At 34.7% G+C, this 25,212-nt stretch overlaps 1 long non-coding RNA gene and 1 pseudogene across 3 annotated transcripts in view; one reads left to right on the top strand and one right to left on the bottom strand.

The window, feature by feature from the left end:
- Window positions 1–25,212, bottom strand: part of CALCRL-AS1 (CALCRL and TFPI antisense RNA 1) — a 544,253-nt gene that overhangs the window by 403,695 nt on the left and 115,346 nt on the right. The gene's annotated exons all lie outside the window — the stretch shown is intronic.
- Window positions 20,970–21,269, top strand: RN7SKP42 (RN7SK pseudogene 42; annotated as a pseudogene).

Below are 25,212 nucleotides of genomic sequence, written 5' to 3'. Positions count from 1 at the left end.
TCCGCCTCAGGCAGCTACAATGTCAAACTATTATCACTGATTTTTCACAAATATTTCCAGTGAAAATGCTGTTTGCAATGAATAAGTGCTGATTCAGGTAAAATAAGGACAAGTCCTGTGAGTAAGGGTTTTCAGGGAACCTCCAGAAAATTAATGACAATTAATTGAGAATAATGCTTTGGAGGATCTCCAAATCTGTTCTACTCACTGCAGTGATCGATAAGCTATTTTCTACCTCCATTGCAGAGCTATTGATTTTCAAGATTGTGATCAAGCTAGGGAGAGTGGGACGGAAATAGAGGAAGTTAAACTACCACAAAGCTTGAGGTCTTATCAAGACCCAGCCATTTTTCTTGAATAAATACTCCTCTAATTATTCTAAGACTTCAATTAATTTCTAGAGTTATGGAAAACTATATTTTGACTACTTTGATAGTACTGCCATTTTTTTTTTTTTTTTATGGAGGAGCAGATTTTTGAAAGGTTCTTATTCTGTCATTCCCAATGACCAAATTAATGAGTTTGAGCTTGGTCAATTTCTTAATAAATAAATCATATCCTAAATGTATTTTCCAAGGTGAAACCTGACTTTCTGAATATGAAACAATATTTGAAAAAGACACTTTTATTTCATTTAGCATTGGAAATACTAATTACTTTTTGGCAGTAATTTTCTTGATTTTAGTAAATTATCTAAGCTCATTCAACAACATTTGTATAATTACTTACTCATGAATACTAAAGTAAGGGTGAGGTGCCTTGAGAACGTCCTTTGATTTAAAATTGCATACCCCTTATTATTTATAAAATCCTGAAGGATAATTATTTTTCAAATTACATGGAGCAAAGGATAAAATTATGCAATTATAAACAATGTTAACACTTCAAATAAAATTCCAATTTATTGAGTTTATATTCAAGTTTTAAATTGTTTATAACTTTTGTGTTATCCCTCAAATTTTAACAAAAATAGAATTGTACCAAGATTATAAATATTTTACCAATATACATCATATTATCAATACATGAAGATTTTTGTTTTTTAATTGAGATTGTTCCTTTTATGATCATATACCTTAAATGTTCAGCTAATTTTCAGATAAAAGCATTCTACCTCCTCATTGCCATTTTTCCCAATACTTTATTTTGTTCCCATGGTATTCATAATGGTTTATAAGGTTTTTGTGTGTGTTTATTTTTCACATTACTTTTAAATTTCTAGTTACTGCCCTTTTAATCAAAAGCCATTAATTAAATCCCCTCCATGTCTTAACCATTATATATATATATATATCCATAATTAAGTAAGAAATTTACAGATAAAAACTGAGAGAATTCACAATATGTGTGCTTTGTTTGTAACTCTTTAAAATCTCCTGTCCAGTTTAAAAGATAAATTCATAAAGCAATAATTATAAATCTGTGTTTATGGATATATACATATATATATATATATAATGGCCATTAATTAAATCCCCTCCATGCCTCAGCCATTTTATATATATATATATATATCCATCAATACAGATTACATAACTATTTTCTTATTTTTAGATATTTATGTTTTATATAAAGACCCATTTATTCTTCAGGGTTCTACTTTTATGATTATTATTAAATAACTATTAAATGTTCTCTAATGAATCACATGAAATGTTGTTTCCTATAGCCTAATAACATGGGGGGGGACAAAAGTAGACAAACAAAAATTTTAAGGTAAATGAAGTGAAAATAAAAGGTTGATAGTGGTAAAATTTAAAAGAAAAGGCAAGTGAGATCTCAGTTTTACACACACACACACACACACACACACACACACACAAATGTTTATAACAATATAAAAATGGTGAAAGTAAATCTAGTAAGATAAATGCCACAAGTTGAGGGCTTTAAGAAAAAGATATATAGACTAAAGTAGTTAAGAGCGAGCATCCCAAAGTCTAAGGTACTTATGTACTGAATCCTGGCTACGTCACTTCCAGTGAGTGAAATTAGGCAACTTATTTTATTTCTAAATAAAATGTGTTACATTATGTAAGAAGTTCTCCTTCTGGAGAAAATTTGAGAATTTGATGCCTTTACCTTTGTAAATCTATGCCTTTGTAAATCTATACCTTTATTTTCTCAGAAGTAATGCTTAAACCTGTGCATTTAACAATTGGATTAAACTTCAGATGCTTAAATATCTGCCCTAGTAGAACATTCAATTTTTTTCTCTATGCTTAAGACATTCAAAATGCATATAGTACAAAACAAAATTTCTGAACTAAGTCTTAAAATGAAATGTATCAAAATAATGTCATTTTCCCTTCAGAATATATAACATTGTATACATTGGAAAAGAGTCTAGATTCAATATTATGTGAAGTGAATTCATTTAAAATTGCCTGAAAACATTGTTCAGTAACTCTCAGGAAATAAAATGCTTTGAGCACAGGGTAAAGATCATTTGTATGTTTATAAAGTTAATGTTTCTTAGATTATTTTATTTTGCTGATCAAATACATTTTATTGAAAAATAAAATTAAATCTGCTACAGTGTTTTTGGATGGCATAGAAAATAAAATTGAAAACGTGATATTCTTTATGTCCATGATTGTGGCTAGATTTGGATTCTAACTCATGACTTAGAGCATACATGTAGTGTTTAAAATAACCATAAAAATTTGAATAGAAGATCTATATCAGTGAAATTCAGTAAGAAAGAGTTCACAGTGTGTACTTGGGCTTTCTATGCAGAACAAAGTCAAATTATGTCTAAACTCATTAAGACATAAACCTTTGTAGAACCAATGACTTCATTACTCTGATCCTCTGTTCAAGAACTAATTATAATCAATATCTAATATCTATTTAGAGACCTCTAAGATTGTGTGAGATGCTAACAATTCCAACAAGAAATGAACATCCTTAGAACTTGTGAATTATTTCTTGTGACCCTGCAACTATTGACCTTTTCTACAATTGACAATTTTTTTTTTTTTTTTTAAGAATCAAATCCAGGTTAGGTTCTGTGCTGGAAACTTTAAGTATGTACTCTCATTTAATCCTCACAAAAATTCTAAGAATAAATACTGTTAATCCCATGTGATCGATAAGGATAAGCAACTTTGCTGGCCAGTTGCAGAGTTATACTCTTTCCTAAAGTTGTGGTCTTTACATTGAACTGCAGATTAATTTTGGAAGTGAGAAGGTTTTACATCATTAGTCACATTTTTATTAGAAAAATCTATTGTCAATTTCTAGGCAATTCCAAATGCTCAACAATAGCTTCGGTAAGCTCCAAGAGATCTACTATTTAAAATGGCATTTTTGTTTTTTAAAAAGTTTGAATCGATAAACAAATATTTACAGATATATTTAGCTTGAAAAAAGTACTGGCATTGAACATTCTATAATACATCTGTATTACCTCTTAAGAATTATGATTTTTGTAAGAGTTAATAAGCATTATAAAAAATTAGATATTAATAACCCAAGGATAAAAGAATATTTTATAAAAATGTCATACATATATACATATTCTCACCCTTTTCACCAGATCATTAAATTATTAAATAACCATAAATGAGTCAAATATCCATTCTTTGCCATTACCCCATCCCAGATCAATAATCCTGATTCATGATAAAATTTGAGATCCACTGTTTTAAAATAAAAATTAAACCTGGGAAGTAATAGTCACTTTAAAGCATAGCCTTTACAAATGGAGAGTAATCTGTATTAAGAGACTATCAGGTGAGTAAACTAAAAAACCTTTGGTTAAAGTGTGGATTCCTTTTGTCTCCCTAACTTCTCTGGAACTATTATAAATATCATCATTATCTTAATAGCATGTTTAATCTATGTTTAAATTCTCTCTCCAGTTGTTCAACTCCTTCTAGTAGGTTGAATAATAGCCACTCAAGTATATCAAATCCTAATTTCTGCAACCTGTAAATGTTACTTTATTTAGAAAAAGGGTCTTTGCACAGTAATTAAATAAGGATCTTTGGGTGGGGAGATTATCCAGGTGAGCCTTAAATGCAATCACATGTGTGGCCACAAGCCAAAGACTGCTGGCAGCCACCAGAAGCTGGAAGAGACAAGAAATGAACTCTCCCCTAGAGCCTCCCAAGAGAGAATAGCCCTGCCATAACCTTGATCTCAGACTTCTGGCATCAAAAACTGTGAGAAAATAAATTTCTGTTGTTTTAAGCCACTCAGTTGGTGATAATTTGTTACACCAGCCACAGGAAATGAATACACTCCCCTATGAGGGAAGGAACTTTTTATCATTTTCATCTTGTAGCCTCACTGCCTGAAACAATTGTTGGTTTAAACAGCAGTTCTAAATCTTGATTGCAATTCAGAATAATCCCAATTTTTAAAAAGTTACTAACGCCCAGATGAAATCTCCCCACTACAGAAATTCTGACTTAATGGCTCTGAAATAAGACTTGGGCATTGGTATTATTTTTAAATCTTCAATTATTTAGTGTGTAATCAAAGTTGAGAACCACAGGCATCAAGAGGGACTGAATGAAACGGGAGTTAGTAAGGTCTAGTAGCTAAGAGCACTGACTGGAATCAGACTGCCAGGAGCCCAGTCCAGCTCCACCATGAACTAGCTGTGTGAGCTGGACCACGTTGCATACTTCTCAGTTTCTCCATCTTTTAAAATATGAGATGATCAAATTATCTTTATTATAGGGTTATTTTGAGGCTTAAATGGGATAATTCAGATGTTTACAAATATAGTGTCTCCCCCATTGTAAACGTTCTATAAATGTTAGATCTCAATGTTGGGAAAAAAATTTAATTTCACATTTCTTTAATCAATCATTTTAAACTTAGGTTAGTTAGAAAGACTAAGGATTTTAATCAAAAAAAGTCTTTAAAGTTTATATAAACAATTCTTATTAATAAATTTTGTTTCAGTTATTTAAATTTGCTGAGCCTCTGAAGTTGTTAGACAAAAGTTCATAACCAGTAATCCAGAGACTTTGACAAGCAAATTCTTTAAAATCTTACAATTGGATCCCTTCTATTGACTTATGCAACATGTTCTCTTTTAATGTAATTGCATTAGAATTCTCTTGTTTAAGTTAAAATTCGTAATGCTTTGGATAGTAGAGTATGGAGCAACATTTTGTATATAGTAGAGAAATGGCAATCTTTCCAAAGAAGTTTTTTCCTTTTTTTTTTTTTTTTTTTTTTTTTTGCTTTCCCAAATCCCCATCTGTTTTGCTGATGTGCCAATATCTGGGGTCTGTTTTTCATAATATCATTTTGTTTGTGAGGTTGTCTGTTCCTGAGAGTTCAGAAGCTGGCTGACAATAAAAAAAGTGACCCTGATGAGGCCAGAAAATATCTTGAAAAATAAAGCTAAAGCCAAGAAAGACACTGCACCCTGCTGGCCAGTGGCACAGAGAGCCTCAGCAGAAGAGGAAGGACAGCAGCTTTGGACATTCCTCTAGAGTCCCTCCTTGGTGGCTGGAGACACTTCCAAAAGTAGCGACTGAATATGAGAATTGCATCAAAACTGCTCATGTCCCCTCCTGCACCCATGAGTGGTTTAAACAAAACAACTCTTTGTGGAAAAAACTGTTTAATTTCACAAAGAGAGATAAGAGAAATGGCAAATAACATATACTTAAAAAAAAAAATCTCTGAAACATCAAAAAAAGGCAACTAGGAAGAGGGACAGAAAAACAGAGTTTAAATACTTTTTAAAACTATTTAATAGTTTTGTGTCCATATTTAACTAAAAGAAGACAGTTTGAGAACTGCCTAGAGATGTTTACGTTTTCCTCTCCGATAATTTTGCACAACTGATAATTTTATCTAATATACTCAACACTAGGAGAATGAGTAAGTCAGAAAGGACGATTTTCTTCCCTTCTATCTTTAAAAGGGGCAAAAAATTCTTAAAGAATTTTCTAGGCAATTTATCTTTGCTGCAATTTTACGTGCAATTTTCTAGTGTTGTATGTGGGTGAACATTATTAGTCTATGTTGTAGATGCTATGAACATAAGCATACAATCTTTTAAGTTTTACCTACATGTGAAAATTGCCCATGAAAAGAAGTTATTATAACCACAGTAAGAATATTTATTCTTTAGAATTCCCACTTGCTATAACAATAACATAAAACCTTTAATCTTATATCATTTTCTATTTTTATTCTGGGAGAAAGCATGGATGCTATGAATTTACACTGGCATTATATCAAGGGTTATCCTTGATTTAAAGATTATTTTCATTCTGATGGAAAATAAGAAGTCTTTTTTTCTTGGATAATATGATAGTGTGGTGTCCTTATGGGAGGTGATGGATAGAGGTTTGAAAAATGCCTACAAAGCAGCCTATGAAAATTCCTATGATAGAAGATAACTGGGAAGAATTCATGGACTACTGTTTTTTTAAACCTCAATTTTATCAACAAATACTGCAGAAAAAACAGGTGAGTCCAGAGTGCCCAGGAAATGTGCAAACACTCTTTTTAACAGTCCAGCTCAGACTCCATATTGCAGGCTATCAGCTGGACAGCCATTGAGCTGGGCTTTCATTTGTCAAGAGGAAAAAGAAAGAATGTGATCCCACCGTAGCTCTGTTTAATTACTTTCAAATAAAGTAACTTAGAATGCTACAAATATGTAAGAAAGGTGGGGTGGAGTGAAAAAATGTCAAGAGTATTATAAACCTAACTTTGGAAATACCAAATTTCCTAGTTAGTTCTATGTCTATGCAAATTAAAGCATGCATTCAGGAATCAGCTGTACGTTTCTAAAACTTTTTGTAAAATTCCATTTCAGTGGAGATATCATGATGTGCTATATCCCTTTCCCCTCCCTCTGGCTTTAATTCAGGTGATAGACCGGAAAAGGAGAGTTCCAGAATCCCGCCTTTTCCCAGCTAGGCATAGCTTTTTCAGCTTGAGGTATAACAATTGTAGGAAATGGTGAATGATGGAAACATTTTCCTAGAAGGGGAGTTTGAAACCTAGGACAGCCACTCCTATTTGAACTATAACTACTTACAGAGGCATGAATCGGAGGAAGCTTGCCACATGGAGAAAGCCTGAACAGACCAACTTGACAGAAGACTAGATTGTCCCTTCCTGAAAGTGATGGACTAACACACTCCCAGGATGCACCTTCCTCTGACATTTCCTGAGCTTAGCCTCATTATTTAGCTACTCCTAGGTTTCAGTGGAAAGGATTACAACCTACATTTTTTTAAAGAATACATTTAAAAAGCAGCTGCTAATAATACTCTCAAGCAATAAACCATATATGTATACTATTTCCCTCATATGTTAGCATTTCTTACAAGAGGCAAGTTGCAAAGGAAACACCTTAAAGATGGCTTGGCATTTTTAAGCACTCAAAGGAAATTCAACTGCTGAGAGGCTGGAAGAAAACTCATATTACCTGTAGTTTGAAAACAAATCATTCCCATTCCTCATACATAAAATTTACAGTCGGTATTCAGATGAGAGTAAATTATTCAGTAGCTGTCAGGATTTTCATTTCTCAAAAACATAAAATAAATTGCCTTGGTTGTTGTCTTTTAGCTCTTTTTCTTACAGTTATAAAAACAATTATATAGGAGAAGCAATTTGTATTCAAGATGATTTAAAAATGATATTGTTATTATACTAGGCAAGGATGTTATTTACAGGATGGAGGTCAGCAGAGTTTTACTTGCATTTTGCTTTAAATACCATTGAAATAAATATACTATTCTACAGTTAAGAAATAAATTAATATGTACATTTTGTAGGGTGTTTTAGGATTCATTAATTTTTCCCCAAGGACACGTGTTTAGGAATGGGGCAAGTGTATGAAAACGAAGTCAAGGAGAAAGGCCATTTATCACAGAGGCCTCAAGATTAATAATTAACAAACCATAAAGAGGTAGCAGATTAAATGCAAGTAAGGAACTTTAATTAAACAATAATCATGAGGATACAAGGCATTTCCTGAGGATTCATCTTTGATTAGAAGTTGTTGAAAGCATTTGGCCTTTAATTCTAGCCAGCCCTTAATCCCCAGGAAGTTTCCTGTGTCTTTACTTTATTGCTATTTTAAGATATATTAAAAGTTTTCACAGAGAAAATGGTAGATGATCTGCCTTATTTTAAAACATAATGTAGCTCAAAGATATTTAGAACTCTTTAGCCATTTCTCAGCATTTCATACAATTCTGGGTAGTATATTATATATAGTATTACTACATACACTATTCACAATAGCAAAGAATTGGAACCAACCCAAATGCCCATCAATGATAGACTGGATAAAGAAAATGTGGCACATATACACCATGGAATACTATGCAGCCATAAAAATGGATGAGTTCATGTCCTTTGCAGGGACATGGATGATGCTGGAAACCAGGAAACTATCTCAAGCAAACTACTACAAGGACAGAAAACCAAACACCACATGTTCTCACTCATAAGTGGGAGTTGAACAATGACAGCACATGGACACAGGGAGGAGAACATCACACACCAGGCCTGTCGAGCAGTGGGGGGCTAGAGGAGGGATAGCATTAGGAGAAATACCTAATATAGGTGACGGGTTAATGGGTGCAGCAAACCACCATGGCACATGTATACCTATGTAACAAAACTGTATGTTCTGAACAGGTATCCCAGAACTTATAGTTTAAAAAAATAAAACACATAAGTAGCAAAACCTGAGGACTAGAATGTATTTACTTATTTATGCATCACTTTGTTCTCAAAAGGATGTGATTCAAAAGTATAATCTAAAATCAAAGCATGTATAACTCATTCAATTATAACATGAAATTATCTTCATTTTCTAATAATGTTTACCAGCAATGCTCTGTCAAACCACTTTTCTGGTGAACAGAAGACTTCTAAAAAGATTTGACAGTTTGATTTTCTAACTTTTGTAAAAGGCTTATGCCAATTAATTTGACTTTGTCCTCTTCATTTTAAAGCTTCAGTTTCATGATCAATTCAAAAGGAAAAGGGCATCTCACATTTTAGCTGTTGGTGAAGTGGAAGTCTCTGCTCTGTTGGTCATCACTGCTAACCTATTGCTTGCCTACAGAGCAAGAGTGACCAGTTTGACCTCAACAGGCATCATTAATGAACAACTCAATTCCCAGTGGCTTCCTTAAGTTTTGGTGGTCCCTGACAAGATGAGGTCACATCTTGCAACTGATACCCAGATTGTAACACCATATAAATTCCTCTTATGTCCAAACTTCTTTTGTGGTGTTCAATATGTAGTACTGTAAATAGGCATAATTTATCTTCTGTATATCTAGGGAACCAGGAATTTAAGGGAGGGGACAGATCTTGACTCACTCTATCAAAATGCACTGTTATATCTTCAAAGGTCTCTCCTCCTAATCTGATATCATGAGTCAGGTCAACAATCTTGGTGGATAAGCAGTCATTCAACTGGAAAGGAGATGTCAGTCTTCTCTTCTTCCACAGTTTAGAAGTTATTTTCTTGGGATTTTTCAGTTGAGAGCTAAGGAATGCCTCCTATTCACAAACATGAATATCCTCCAAAAGGATGCCTTTATCTCCCTTAAATTTGTGATATCAATGCTGCCAATGCAGTGTAGTATCATCCAAAGGCATGATGAGTCTCATGCCTGGAAGTGGCCCTTCTTCAAACTCAATTTCAGGGAAACTGAAAACATTGCTTTCAATAGTTTCCCTGGAGACTGGGATTAAATCTTTCCTTGAGCACTTACACAGATAAAGTAGCTAACCTCTGTGGTTTGTGGCATAGGGATATTTCTCATTTGTGAATTAAGGATAACAAAAGTACCTACCATATAGTGTTGTGAGAATTAACTATGTAAACAAACACACCTCATTTACCTCCTTCTGTTCACAAAAATCCATCTCTACTTTTGTCTGTCTCACTCTGTGCCCTGGGAGGCTGGCCTCTAAACTGCAGCATCCAGCCTCCCTTGCCTTCAGACATTGAATTGGTTTCAGTCAATTAGAGAGACCAGCAGTAGACATCAGGGTATTGCCTCCTGCGTTGCTTTCTCTGTGATTTCGTGTTATGATCTGGCAGAAAATGTTTCTCTATATCGACAGCTTTGTCTCCTGACTTCCAGGTCACCAGTTCTTACCTAGCTCTAATAACATTGCTCTCTCTTTTTGCACCTTCACACCTGCAGGCAGTATGTCCTCCTACTGCTGCAGGTCCATGGTTCCCTGGTACAGTGACATCCAACATCCAGGTGTCAATAAGTACTTCACACTGTCTTTCTACATATTAAGATTTTTCACTGGATGTTGTTTTTCAACTGTATTTTTATTGACATATTTTCAATTATTACAAATGTTTACAGGACCATATGATTTAAATCATATTTAGTTATGTATATGCATAATTCATATCCATACACATACACATGCAACTGGTCCATAATACTTAGCACAGAATGGTTCTCTCCACATATCACATTATTCTTTTTGTTAGATAAGCTGACATCAGATCCTTTGTTTAAAATTTACAATGGCTTTTCATAGCATTTAAAATAAAATCCAAACTCCTTACCAAACCCAACATAGTTTGAGTCCAAGTACTTCCAAGTACTTTTTTTTTTTTTTTTTTGGAAACAGAGTCTCACTCTGTCACCCTGACTAGAGTGCAATGGCATGATCTCGGCTCACTGCAACTTCCTACTCACAGGTTTGAGTGATTCTCCTGCCTCAGCCTCCCAAGTAGCTGGGATTACAGGGGCCCACCACCACACCCAGCTAATTTTTTTTATATTTTGCAGTAGAGATGGGGTTTTACCATGTTGGCCAGGCTGCTCTCGAACTCCTGACTGTAAGTGATCCACCCACCTTGACCTCGCAAAGTGCTGGGGGTGAGCCACTGCGCCCGGACAACTCCAAGTACTTTTTAGACCTCTCTCCTACTACCTCTCTTTTGCTTACCATGTTCCAGCAATACTGGACTTCTCATTATTCCTTGACCCCACCAAATTCACTAGCATACTTGGGAAACTTCCTCCTGCTTCCACAGTGAAAACACTTTACTATGTCTTTCTATGACTAGGTTCTTCTCATTTGGCTCTGATAAAATGTCAGTCAAATAGCACTCCATTGCAGTCACTTGCTATTCCCTTCCTTGCCTGCTGTTATACTTCCTGCTATCTGAAATCATGTACTTTTTCGCTTATTGGTTTACTGTCTGTTCCCCTACCAGAATGTAAACTCCAAAGCAGGTAGAACTTAGTCTTCTTTATCACAACAATCACAATACCTACACATATGCTTCACACATAGCAGAAATCAGGTATATAGTAAGCAGTTGATAAATACGTTGACTGAAAAATGTTTAAAAAATAAATGAACCTTATACATTATGTAGTTTGTCTCCTTTATTTTACAGTTGCTGAAACTGAAACAGAGAGATTGAACTTTATTTTTAAAGATTCAATTACTTTTTATATTTTTTAGATTCAATTTTTCAGATTCAGTAAGCCCAAGTGCTCTTTTTGTTAAAATTGTTTTTACTGTCAACAATTTATGTTTTCAACTTAAAGGAATATAAGATGATAAATGAGTCAATACGATTTTTTAAGCTGTGAAAATCAGCACTTAATAGTACAGAACTTTAGTAAATTGTGGTTGTTTATTATACTTTTTAAGTTCTGGGGTACATGTGCAGAACGTGCAGGTTTGTTACATAGGTATACATGTGCCAAGGTGGTTTGCTGCACCCTTCAACCCATCATCTACATTAGGTATTTCTCCTAATGCTATCCCTCCCCTAGACCCCCACCCCTGGACAGGCTCCAGTGTGTGATGTTCCCCTCCCTGTGTCCATGTGTTCTCATTGTTCAACTCCCACTTATGAGTGAGAACATGTGGTGTTTGGTTCTCTGTTCTTGTGATAGTTTGCTTGAGATTGTTTTCTGGTTTCCAGCATCATCCACGTCCCTGCAAAGGACATGAACTCATCCATTTTTACGGCTGCATAGTATTCCATGGTGCATATGTGCCACATTTTCTTTATCCAGTCTATCATTGATGGGCATTTGGGTTGGTTCCAAGTCTTTGCAGATCCCTTCTTTACACCTTATACAAAAATTAACTCAAGATGGATTAATGACTTAAACATAAGACCTAAAACCATAAAAACCCTAAAAGAAAACCTAGGCAATGCCATTCAGAACACAGGCATGGGCCATGACTTTATGACTAAAACAACAAAAGCAATGGCAACAGAAGCCAAAATAGACATATGGGATCTAATTAAACTAAACAGCTTCTGCACAGCAAAAGAAACTATCATCAGAGTGAACAGGCAACCTACAGAATGGGGGAAAATTTTCACAATCTATCCATCTGACAAAGGGCTAATATCCAGAATTTAAAAAGAACTTACAAGAAGAAAACAAACAGCCCCATCAAAAAGTGGGCGATACGGTACTATTAAGCACAGTCACCACACTATACATTAGATCCCCAGAACTTACTTATCTCATAGCTGGCAGTTTGTACTCTTTGACCAACATCTCCCGTCTTCCCCCACCTCCAGCCCCTGGCAACCACCTTTCTACTCTCTGCTTCTATGAGTTCAACTTTTTTAGATTCTACAAATAAGTGAGGTCATGTAGTAATTGTCTATGCCTGGCTTATTTCACTTAGCAAAATGTACTTCCACATTTATCCATGTTGTTACAAATGGCAAGATTTTGCTCTTTTTATGATGGAATATTACTGGTATTTTCGTATATTTCTTATGACCCCCAAAATAGATATAGAAGATATAATTGACTACTAGCAATATAAGTACAAGCACTTCGGCACTTCTTCCTGGGTGGCTTTTTAAAGTGTGATGCTTATCTATATAAAATAATTCTCATGGGAATTACTGTGGTTTTAATGAAAGTTCCTAGTGTTGACACTGGATATAAAAACTGGTCCCATGAACTAACTCTAAGCCATTAAAATAGCATTTACCATTAGATAGGCTTTGTTACTCCTGTATCACTAGAACATTTTCATGTAAATTATATTTAAACTTCCTGTGAAGACAATGAATGTTTATGGAAGGCAAGTAGTTCATTTACTGTTTGTCTTATCATTGTTATTCAACTATGAATATTGTGCAATAAAAATATTTACCAGTTGTATTTAAATGACAAAAAGATATGATTATTTTACCACTGATAATGGGGACTGATTACATTAAGGAAGCCAAGTGTGTGTGTGTGTGTGTGTGTGTGTGTGTGTGTGTGCATCTCAAGATATGCCTTATATACAAATAAAACAGATAATCACAATAATATTTGTCATTTGGTACTTCAGACTTGGAATATATGTGGATCCCAACCTCAGTTGTAAACATTTACAAAATTATGAGTTTTGTAATTATAGTATACAAATACCATACTCATATCAGAACTATACATGATAAATTACTATACTTCAGGATAAAATGAAGAGATTTAAGGAGATGTTTCTGGGTGATATATTGCCAATTTCTAAATACATTTTAAACACCCCAATTTACCGTGAGACTTTTCAATAGGAGGATGCAGTGCTTCTCCATGCTCCATTCTATTTTCAAAGTATAAAGCTTAAGCTAGTACATCTGTTAAATACTGAAATAGCCAAAAGGAATCCCCAAAGAAATAGTCTGCTTTTTCAGGCAGTAACTTTTACTTTTTGCCAAAGGTTTATAATCAGAGAAGCTTTACCCTGTCCAGGTGTGGTCTTGAATACCGAAACACAGCTGCAAAGAAGCTAATCTGATTTTTTCCCTCTTTCCTTTCACTCCCTAAGTGATGCAGCAAATATTGCCTATGTCTCTCTTGAGGAGAATTCACAGATTTATGTTTTAAAAAAGACTTTCTTCTTTCTGTTGCCTAGCAAATATGCAGTTGTGGCTAGATGAAAAAAATACATGCAAGTGAAAGCTAGGCAACCTAAAACATTTTGATGTATTTATGTGTCCAGAACTCAGGATAACGTTTTTTTAAAAAATACATTATACATAGTATAGGCTTGTAATTACTTATTATTTTACCCTGCATTTTGTAAAAAGGCTTTATGTCAGTTTAGTGTAGATTTATGAATCATGCATGAAAAAAGATGTTTAATATTTTTTGAACATGCCAAATGCTACATAGTTGGAAAAATACATGAATGTTGGACTGTTCATGAATGAATGTAAGCTTATGTAATGGAATAATGATGTCTTCATTGTATTCTTTTTTAAATACCCCAAAATGCTTGCTTGAGAAATGAAATAGAAAATTCAAGGCTCCTGTGTGACTTCATCAACAAACATTTATTTAACAAACATGTACTGACTAGTTACCAGGTTTCAGGTTCTGTACTATGTTTTTGAAATGCTAAGACCAAACATCCCTGATAAGTTCATAACCTACTAGGGAAAACAGGAGTGTGAATAAACAAAATATAGTAATGAGATATAAACAAAGTTCTTTAAGAACTTAAAGACAGTAGTCAAACTCTATGTAAAGGATCATCTGCAGTGCCTGTTAAAATGATCAGCTCTTGACCTAGACCTCCAATACACCACATCACAAACTTAGGGGTATGCCCAGGAATTTGTAGAAAATTTCATAAGCACCCCATGGTAATTCTACTGCACAGATAATTCAGTATCCACTGAAGAGGTATTTACACTTACCAAAGATTTTAGAGAAAAGTTTCTTGAAGTCGATTATTGGGACTCAAAAGAGGTACACCAAATCATCACATTTCCATGACAGACCTCTTCAGGTAAATGAAAAACCAAATTTTTCATATTCATTCAATATCTGTTTAACAATAATTTATTGAGTACTTAATCTATTATAGGTGCCTTACATATGTGCTAAAAATGGGCTTAGTGATATTGAGCCTCAGATTAGGAAGATGAGAGCAGGTTACTCTCACCACATGGCAGAAAGATGAGAAAAAAAACATGTCCTCTTTATCAGCCAGCTCACAGAGAACGTGAGATGAAAGGGCAGAAGCACACATGTCCAGTTCTTCCTCTCAAACTAACCAATCAGAAGTCTTTCTGTCTCTCCTTAGAAGGACAAGAGAGGATGTAAGTAGAGAACATAAAAGTAGAGATTATTGTAGAGATTCTTCCACATGGAAAGAGTCAGCATGTGTAGGAAGTATTTCCCTTCCCCCTCAATGATGACACTTGAAATGGGTCTTGGAAGAAGGGTAAGAGTTTTGCAATTCATGGGAGATTGTGGTGGGAGATGAGAAAATTAAGGCATGGAATGATAAACAAAGATGTATTCAAATCTAAGTCTGATCAATACCAGAGCTTAGTGTTTGAAATCTCCACACAAAGCAATGAAGAGCTTTCAGCTAATTTTAAGTCAATGTATAGAAAGATCACCTTTGTCTATTTTTGATGACAACTCTGGATAGAAAATAATCAGTGTCAAGGAGACTAGTTGGGAGGATGTTTCAATAATTTAAGGTAAAAATTACAATGGCATGGATGAAGACCATGGCAAAAGAAACAAAGCAGAGAACATGTTTTGCAGATGTTTAATGTGAACTGGTGACTAACTGCATGTGGAAGGAACACGAGAGAAAATAGGATTGAGTTGAATATGGGATTCTACTTTGAGAGATTTGATATAGTGCAACATGACATCAAAACATAAGGTCGACATGGGAATATAAAATGAGTTATGTTCTAGATATTATTAAGCCATTACATAACTAACATATGTCTTAGTCTTTTGCGGATGGTAAAAACAAAATACTGTAAACCGGGTAGCTTACAAACAAACAAAAAAAGTATTTCTCAATCGTTTTGGTGGCTGGGAAATCCAAGATCAAGGCAACCAGCAGATTTAGTGTCTGATGAGGGCCCATTTCCTGGTTCATAGACAAGGCCTTCTTGCTCTGTCCTTACATGGTGGATGGAGCAAGGGTCTCTCTGGAGCCTCTTCTACCGGGCACTAATCCCATGCATAAAGGCTTTGTCCTCATGATGCAATTACCTCCAAAAGGTCTCACCTCCTAATACAATCACTTTGGGGGTTAGTATTTCAACATATGAATTTTGGAAGAACACAAACATTCGACCTTAAGAATACCCAAGACCCGAGACCTCATTTCAGATTCAGTCTTAGTCTCGGCTTTCTTTTCAGCAGTCATTAAGGACTCAGATTCTTTTATTTTTCTCCTGGACAGGACCATAAGCAGCTTTCCCATCCCTTGGGAATGGGATTAAATATTGACTGCAATACTTTATTCAATACTGACTGCAAAAGGAGAACATATTCTTGTCAATATTCTTTTTTCTCAGCAGTGTAAAGCAAACAAAGAACAAAAACAAAAAACACTGAAGCCCTTCTTGTTTTAAGGATATTAAAACATATCAGTGTGAGAAAACTCCTTTGAGAACAGACGGAGGTAATTAGCCAAGGAAGGGTTTGATTCATGTCTCTATTCAAATCTTCTCAAAGAGAACAAACCTAACAATGTTATGTAAAATAACAATTCCTTCCATCACCCTAGACACATACCTAGGTCTCTGGCCTTTTAACTTGCTTTATTCTTTTCCATAATATTTAATATCACCCTTATACCACTTACCACCTTTATTTTTCATTTTTTATTGTTGTTTCTCTCCATGAAGATGCAAGCTCCATAAGAGCAGGCAGTTTACTTTTATTTTGATCAGCAATATAACCTTACAGCCTAGAATACTGCTTGGCACGTAGTCATTCAATGACATATAAAAATAATATTACTTGAATAGATGAATATCAAAATTATAATATAAATTTCCTTTTCCTAGTATTGTTGTGCTGAAAAATCTTACAAGTTAAACAGATACGGCTCTTGCTCCAGAAGCTTCAGAGTTGACTACTTTGTTTCTAACATTTTTCTTAATACACTCGTGGTCTCTTCTAAATTTAATTGCATCTCATGATGTGACTCCAACAACTACAATTGATTGGACCTAACAACATCCAATTTAAAGACTGGAATTGATTTATGGCATGGTCTGATGCCAAAAGTGGAGTTGGGCCAATCAAATCCCTTTTGGAATTTGAAATGAGAAACCTAAAGAGAGCAAGGCAGCTAGCAGCAGGAGCTAAAAGCTGGGAGAAAACTTGGAGTTAAGGTCATAAAAATTGAGTAGAATTACCTCATAATTCATAGCAGAAACTGTGAATAGCCAGAAGCTGTGAAGACAGGAAAAAATTAAACTGATTAGGAAGAAAAAAATCAGAAGTCAACTGGTCAGCAGTAATGGGAGATTAGAACAGATATTCAGAAAAAAATGCTGTAGAAACACAAGAAAAACAGAAAAGGAGGGAGATTTATTAATGCCCATGAGACAGAAACAGACAGGGTTGCTTGTCTCTAGATCTAACACAGCTTCTGATGACGTAAGGGTTACAATTCTGCTATAATACACCTTCATTTAATATCGTTTGAACCTATGGAAATATAGCTGCAGTCACATGGTTATGTATACTCGTAGTTAATTTGTACTGAAATATAAATACATATCAATATCCATATACCTTATAAAATACTGTGGAACATTCAATTTCCTGTAAAATATAATGCAACTCACATATCACCATCATGATTCTAGCAAATGAAACTAGAATGATTACTTAGAGTAACCTACACTGGAATGAAGAGGGAGAAACTGAAAAACAACAAATTAGGAGATACTTTCTATGAGGTTACAACATTGATATTATTTTTCCTCTACAAATTCCTTCTTTCTAGTCTTGACCATCACTGTTTCTACACATTCTCCCTACAAAAAAAAAGATTAGGAAAAAATGTTATTTGCTATTGTTTAAGCATAACTCAAGTGAAAAGGAAAAAGAAAAACCAAATAACCCAACTCAAATTCATCTTTCTTCAGATTTATATTACAATCTCTCTTTTCTGAAAATTATGCCTTAAGATTTAGACCTTAGTGGCTTCCTTCATGTGACATGATGGTACATTGCAAGTGGAAATTGACAGAATCACAGAATTAGAATTTAGAATCTAACATAAAGATTCTTCTAAAATGTGCCCATTATATGTACTTCCTTAGCCATGGAATTTGATGTTCAAATTTAGAATTAAATTAATCTCACCCTTGGACAAAAAAGATTTTTCTCAGAACTAAAAAGTAATAAATTGCTTCATAGTTGAGCCTTTGCAGTAAGTTTTCCTTTAACTTCATGAGAAATGTAACTAAACTGTTCCTAGACACTTCTAAATAAAAATCTTTAAGATGAGAATGGTAACATTAAAGTAAGCAAAGTCATTCTGGGCCTTATTTCAGGTTCTTTGGGCCAAGGCAAAAAATGAAAATCAAGCTTGAGTATTAGGTCTCTTTCTAAATGGAAAAAACTCATCAGTTAAAAACAAAACATAGCTAGGGTAAATGGAAAAAGATAAAAATGACCACCCTTTTATTTTATATCTCTGTGAAGTGATTCCTAGCTCTTGAAGTTGCCTTGCAAGCTTTTCTCCCCTTCCCCTCTTCTAATCACACAATCCTGAAGACTTCCTGGAAGGCAAACTGTGAAATCCACAGGTAAGAGAGCATTGACAATAGTATGAAGAAAAATAAAACCAGACTAAAATTCCTCACCTGTGGGTTATTTTAATTAAACATTTCTGATGTATGAGTGTTAAAAATACAAATGTAAGCAATTTACCCCTGGAAATGAAGACGCTGTATCCAATAAAAATAGAGACCATGTTTTGTTTTGTGATCATGTGTTTTTTAGCTAAAGTTAACTATGAAAAAATGGCTTTATCAATAGAATGATTGACTAGAAAGAAAAAAATCCGTGATAGATATATGCATAGTACGTGTGTGTGTGTTTGCATGACATCATTTTAATAAAAACTACAATTCGAAAGTCTGATAGCTCTGATAATTAACAATGGGAGTTAGTCCATTGTAAACTTGTGTCTGGGTTTTCAGTCTCCTTCCTTGTTTAATTATAAGCAAATTCCAATTTTACTGAGGCCAGTTGGAATTCACTACTGGGAATACAGATTATGTTAACTGATGTGAAGCCCTGTGATCCTGTTACATCTCTGTGTAGCCAAAACGCCTGCCCTGCTCGAGTCTTTTGCACTAGAGGCTGACCCGTCCATGTAGAAATGAACTATAGTAAACTCACTGACATCAGAGGTGAGCCTGGCTGATATCACTGGGTGTGACAAAAGACATCTCAATTTGTAAAAATTAAAATGTCATTCTTTTATGAATAATGTGTGAAAGCAAAAAGCATTTCACAGTCCTGTTTTTTCTTGCAGAAATTTTTAGAGAAAAAGTACAAGATATGCTCATAGAAGGGAGGCAAGATCTGATCTGCTGGATTAGGCAAATAACCCCTAACTGAGGCAAATATGCTTTGTTTGTATTCATTTCTATTTCTTAACTCTAACATCATTTATTTATTGAATAAATATTTTATGACCAGAAATTATGCACTAGATGCATTAATAATAAAGAGATAGGTATTAAAAATGTGTTTGCTCACTAAGTTTTGAACACAGGTAAAAAATCCTTTGAAAACGATTGGATGGTGGGTTACAGAGAATTTTACAATTACACAGTGACACTTCACCTAAGCTGAGTCTTGAAAACTGAGCTGGGGGAAAACTAAGATACTACCATTTGCCAAAAATAGAGAGAAAAGAAAGTTTAGGAAAGTACCTATACCCAGGAGTGATAAAAGTGCACAGAAAATGTGGGAAGATAGCAGAAACAAAGCTGAAGATGTGGGCAGTGGCAAGTCACAAAATCTCGTTCACTAAGTTAAGGAATTTGTATTTTATCCTGAAGTTGACAAACTTTGCAAAACTTACAGTTCTTGAAGACTGAGGTCATGCATAGTTTCTACTCCCAGAAAATGAATTCCATATTCTTCTTTAGAAATACTATTTTCCATATTTTTGATAACAATATTATACCATAGACCTCATTGGCTGTATTATTCCTAGATCATTTAACATTTTAACTACCGTTTGTGTATTCTTCTGCATAATTATGAGGAAGGAGACTACATCCCTGATTCTTTGAAAATGTAAATCCTTTTCAGTAGTTTTTAACAGCCCTAAGACACCCTGGAATAATATTTTTTCTAATTTTTCCTTTTTTCTTATCTCTCTTAACAAAGTTTGTGTTGGCTATTGAAAGAAATGAAGAAAAAAATACTGGTTTCAAAAGATATTTTAAGACAGAACTAAAGAGATAAGCAATATCAAGTGATGATCTTCCATCACTTCATTCTTGTTTTCCAGGAATTTCAACATCATTTGCATGTGACAGATTGGATACACACTATAAACTGAGTCACATCAGTCTTTTTTGTTAGAAAAAAAGTTTACTTAAAATATAGACATCATAAGTTATGGGAAATATAACCCTAAACTGAAAATTGGGGATTCCTTCGTGTAAATTCTGGTTCTGTTACACAGCAATAATATAACTCTTGTTAATTCACTTAATGAGGGGAATCAGAATTGGATTTTAACATTTCATCTATATCCAACATGTAGGGTGCTATTAGCTCAGGAGAAAATGTAATCTCAGAATGTGATGTCAAAAATTTTACTCTAAACTTGAAATAAAAAACAACATAAAATGCATATATAAGTGATATACTGCAGGCATCCACCCTAGTATTTGGTAAGTAAATATATCACTAATGAGAATAGGGTGTCTTTCAAGCCTAGTAAGAAACTTAGTACTGAAGTAATTTAAAAGACCTATATTTTGACTAATTCTAGTATTCTAAAGTCAATATTGGCTTAAACTATTTGTACAATTAAGATATGTTTAATTTTCTTTTCTTCATGAAAATGTAGAACTTACTACAATAATGTATTTTCATACTGGTACACGAATTGTATTGTATATGTTAACATGTAGTTAAATTTCTTTGAAAAAAATCTAGTGATGCAGATGAATATTTCAAAATAAACTAGTGAAGGTCATCTGGCTGCAACATCGCTCCATTGATCACCAGGGTTGTTTGGGCTGATCTGTCTGGCTAGGCAGGTGCCCCTTTCAACCTTACTGTTCCATGTGCATCCCTTCTGAAGCTGAGAGCTTAGTCAAAGAGAGCAACCTTCCCAGATAGAGGAGGACTGTTCATCATCCAGGGTGTACTGGTAGTTGTGCTACTGTGCTAGAACCTCCAGATAAGCTCTCAATATAAACCAGTGATTCTGAGAAATAGTTATATTTAAAAATAAATTGTTCTCCTGATTAGTATATTGCTTTAAATAAAGGCTCTGATGCACATTTTCATCTCTAATTTGTGAAATCTAAAATGTAGTTCACTGGAAATACAAAATGACCAAAAGAAAAATGTTTCCACAGATGAAATTCACTAAATAATTTTAGACTGACTTTTCAGCTCCTTGAAATAATGTTATTTCATCTCTCATTTTAAAGAAAAAGTAAACAATAAAAAGAAACTGCATATGTCACCAGAGAAATAAGGATGACAGAAATATACATGAAAATAGTTTTATAGGACATTTAAAGAAGAGTATATTTTTTATTTTCTATATTTAAAAACAGTGCTATCTAGAGTTAAAATGACTAGATTTCAGAGACTGAGCAAGTAGAAATTGAATGTGCTGCAGTTTTCAAAGGGCTTATTAGAAAACATACAAATATATCAAATTTGACAATGTGTAGATGTAAAGTGTGGCTATAGACCACAATATCCCCAAAACTTCTGATTTAGGAAGGAAAATTAGACAAAGGAGGAAGAACAGAGAGAAGAAATTTCATGGCTGGAAAATTTACAAATTAGGTTAAACAATTTGTTTTGACTTACATTTCCACTTATTTTTTTTTTAATTCAAGTCCTAAGTTTAATGTGTAATCAGTTTATCGAAAGAGTTTCAAGTCATCAGGGTACAAGCATAAATAATTTTAATTTTTCCAGTAATAACCTTTCAACCATGTTATGTTGTTCCACTTAATATTATTTTGGCTAAATTCCATCCCTTTCATGTTACATTTGGCTATTGTCATTGTGTCATTTTATTTTTAAGACTCAGTTCTGGTTTCCTCAAAAAGACTATTCTTAAACTTTGTTCTATGTTTATGTGCTTGTGTCCTCCCATCTCCCACCTCCACATTGAAGAGTAAGCTTTGATTGCCAAAGAGTGAGGGAGTGCGTGGTGGCCTGGCTTAGAGACATTTCTTCTTTTTTATCTAGGCACTAGTTTCTCTGCTGTAGAAGGCAGAAAGGAGGACAGAGAAGACAAAAATGTCCTAATGTTACGGCCCACATACCGATAAAAGGTGTTCCGAGACTCACCGATTGAGTCTGACACTGATCATCTCTGCTAATCATGCTATGCTTCAGAGTTGGTGTACGTGGTTCTCTTGGGGCAGTGTTCAGTGTCACCCCTGCCCTCCTTGCTGATAAGTAGAACCACCACGTGGAGTTGTGCAGTCTATGCACAAGGGTGCCCAGCGAATGAGGTAATTGGATGCTGAAATCCAGTCCCCACTCTGTTTCTCAAGGCTGTGTCCACTCAGTGGTGCTTTTGTCTAACTTGTACAAAGGACATAGTTAGAAACTCCTTCAGGGGGATATGTCTGCCTTTGGTACACCCCTAATGTATTTGTTAAGTTGGATGTGACATCAAGTTACCCAATGGTTGATCCTTCACACAGAGCTATGGGAAGAGTGAGGTACCTCTTCTACAATGCATACATTGTAGGGTCCTTCAAACAGTGCAAATAGTCAATATGCGATAGATGTTTTTCTTAAACTTTATGTCCTGCTCATTTTGGCTGTTACAGATATTTTCAACAAATTTTATAGCCCACACATCAAACAATTCCCTTTTCTTTCCAATAGTAGTAGGATGTAACCAAACAGAAAATTACCCCATATTCCCAGGACTCCAAAATTACATCCCAAGGACTCCCACACTACCTACTATGATATCTGAGTAACATCAGGGTGGTACTACATGCTGGCAACTTATTATGATTCCAACAAGAGAATGAGATGCCAGTGCCTTTGCTCAGATACCTCTAATCTTGATTTTCGTAGGATTTTCCTTATGAGGTTTTATTCTGTAAAAAGCACCTATACCCTTTAAAGAGAGGGAATAAACTCCCACTAAAATACTATTCAACCCATAAAGCCAACGACGCGTATCTCTCTAACCCTTCTTATTATGACTAGAAAGGAAGGTGGTAGAATATTCTTGGGAGTATGGCTAACATTCAGTTGGCACAGTTGTGAGGTGGCTTTCTCCAACTGTAGGCTGATTGATGCTTCCTTTAGATTGAGGAACACTTTCTGTTCTTAGGTCTCAGCCAATTCAGGAATAATAGTAAAAATTCTAGTTGGCACCTTATGGTTCCCTCAGCTATTACAGAGACTTATAATGAAACCATATTCTCAGTTTCCAGCCTTTCCAATGTATCAAAACACAAATTTGTTCTTTTTTTTTTCTTTAAGATAGGGTCTCAGTGTCACCCAGACTGGAATGCAGGGGAGCAATCACAGCTCACTCCAACCTCTGCCTCCTGGGCTCAAGCGATTCTCCCACTCCAGCCTCCCGAGTAGCTGGATTACAGGCATGCATCACCATGCCCAGCTAAATTTTTTTGTATTTTTAGTAGAGATGGGGTCTTACTATGTTTTCCAGACTGGTCTTGAACTCCTGGGCTCAAGCGATCTGCCTACCTTGGCCTTCCACAGTGCTGGGCTTATAGGCATGAGCCACCACACCCGGTCACAAATTTGTTCTAAGAGAAATTTCTTCATGTATCTTTGATACAAAACTTGCAATTCCTCCACAATACACTGAGAATAAAGTCCAAAATCCTCAGCATACCATTTTAGTCTTCCACAAACTAGTCCCAATTTGCCTTTTTTGTCCCTTCCTTCAGTGTACCCTCCCAAACTCCCATGGTTCTACTTTCCCACATTATCCATCATCCTAATACTTCTCACATCAGTGCTTTTCTAAAGCTGTGTACATTACTTAGACTGTCTTTTCGATTATCTCTCCCCAAAAACCCGTCTATTGCAACTGTTCACGTCTTCCAAAGACAGGCCATAATTCTACTTTCATCATGGATATCCATCATCCCTATCAGAATTAATCAATATTTTATATGAATTTCCTTATTAGTTTATGTCCCTTATATCATAGCTTCCAATAGATCTTTGCTGAAAAAATTGAATTTAAAGTCTCTTCCAGTTGATTGTGAAATCCTCAAAGTAGGAATTATGCCTTTGTCATTTTTAATTCCTCCCAAAACTTAAACAGTATAATCTATGTAGTAAATACTCAACATAATGTTCAATAAATTAAATTGAAAATCAGATGTGGTGAACAGACAGTAAGAAACTAACCAAGACCATTTCTCAATTTGTCTCTATTTGAATTATGAAGTAAAAATAGTTTTTAGGTCCTTATAGGAAAAAAAAAAAGTTGGTTATGGGAACATTCCTAATGGCACTTTGAAAATTATTTCTGCATGCTTAGAAGAATCTCCTATTTCCTAAGGGGAATTGTCATAAAGTTAGGGTGAGTTTTAGTCTCTTCCAGGAGATAGGGCAGGAAATTCAGGTGAACTTTGTTACAACTTGCATTTTTCCCCTCTGACTAGGTGAGAGTGTAAATTTTGGTGAAGGCATTGAAAATGATGGATAGTAAACACAAAACAAGTCTGATTTTCAATCACATTTCTGTTCTTTCAAATTTGGAAATATGCCTGCTGCTCACCTCCAAAATGGCCTTCTATTTGGCTGATATTGTTTGGGCTTACTTCTATTATAACTTATAGAATTATTATTTTACTCAAACATATGAGAATCTAAAATGGGTTCTCAATAAAGGTAAGAGAAATTAAATGTTAGCTGAATGAATTAAGATTTTCCTTATTTGAATTCTACCTTGTCATCATTTTACATAATGCTTTAAAAATACATTTTAATTAAAATGTGATGGTTCCAGGATTATCACAATGCCTCTCTAAAAATGATAATTCAGCAGCCGAAAGGTAAGACAATCTCCTGATGATCCACAGCTATTAACATTAAACGTGTTAACTGAATGCAGGTGCCATGAGAAAAAACTTCCAGGCATGCGTACAACTTTCTAAACACACTGCGCATGCTCAATTCCCAAGGGTAAGGAAGGCACTGCCCACATAGGAAGCCCACCCTAAGGGAAGAA

This window comes from Homo sapiens, chromosome 2 (genome assembly GCF_000001405.40).
Source record: "Homo sapiens chromosome 2, GRCh38.p14 Primary Assembly".
Taxonomy (NCBI): domain Eukaryota; kingdom Metazoa; phylum Chordata; class Mammalia; order Primates; family Hominidae; genus Homo; species Homo sapiens.
The sequence above is the reverse complement of the archived record's forward strand: the minus strand, read 5'-3'. Positions and strand labels throughout refer to the sequence as shown.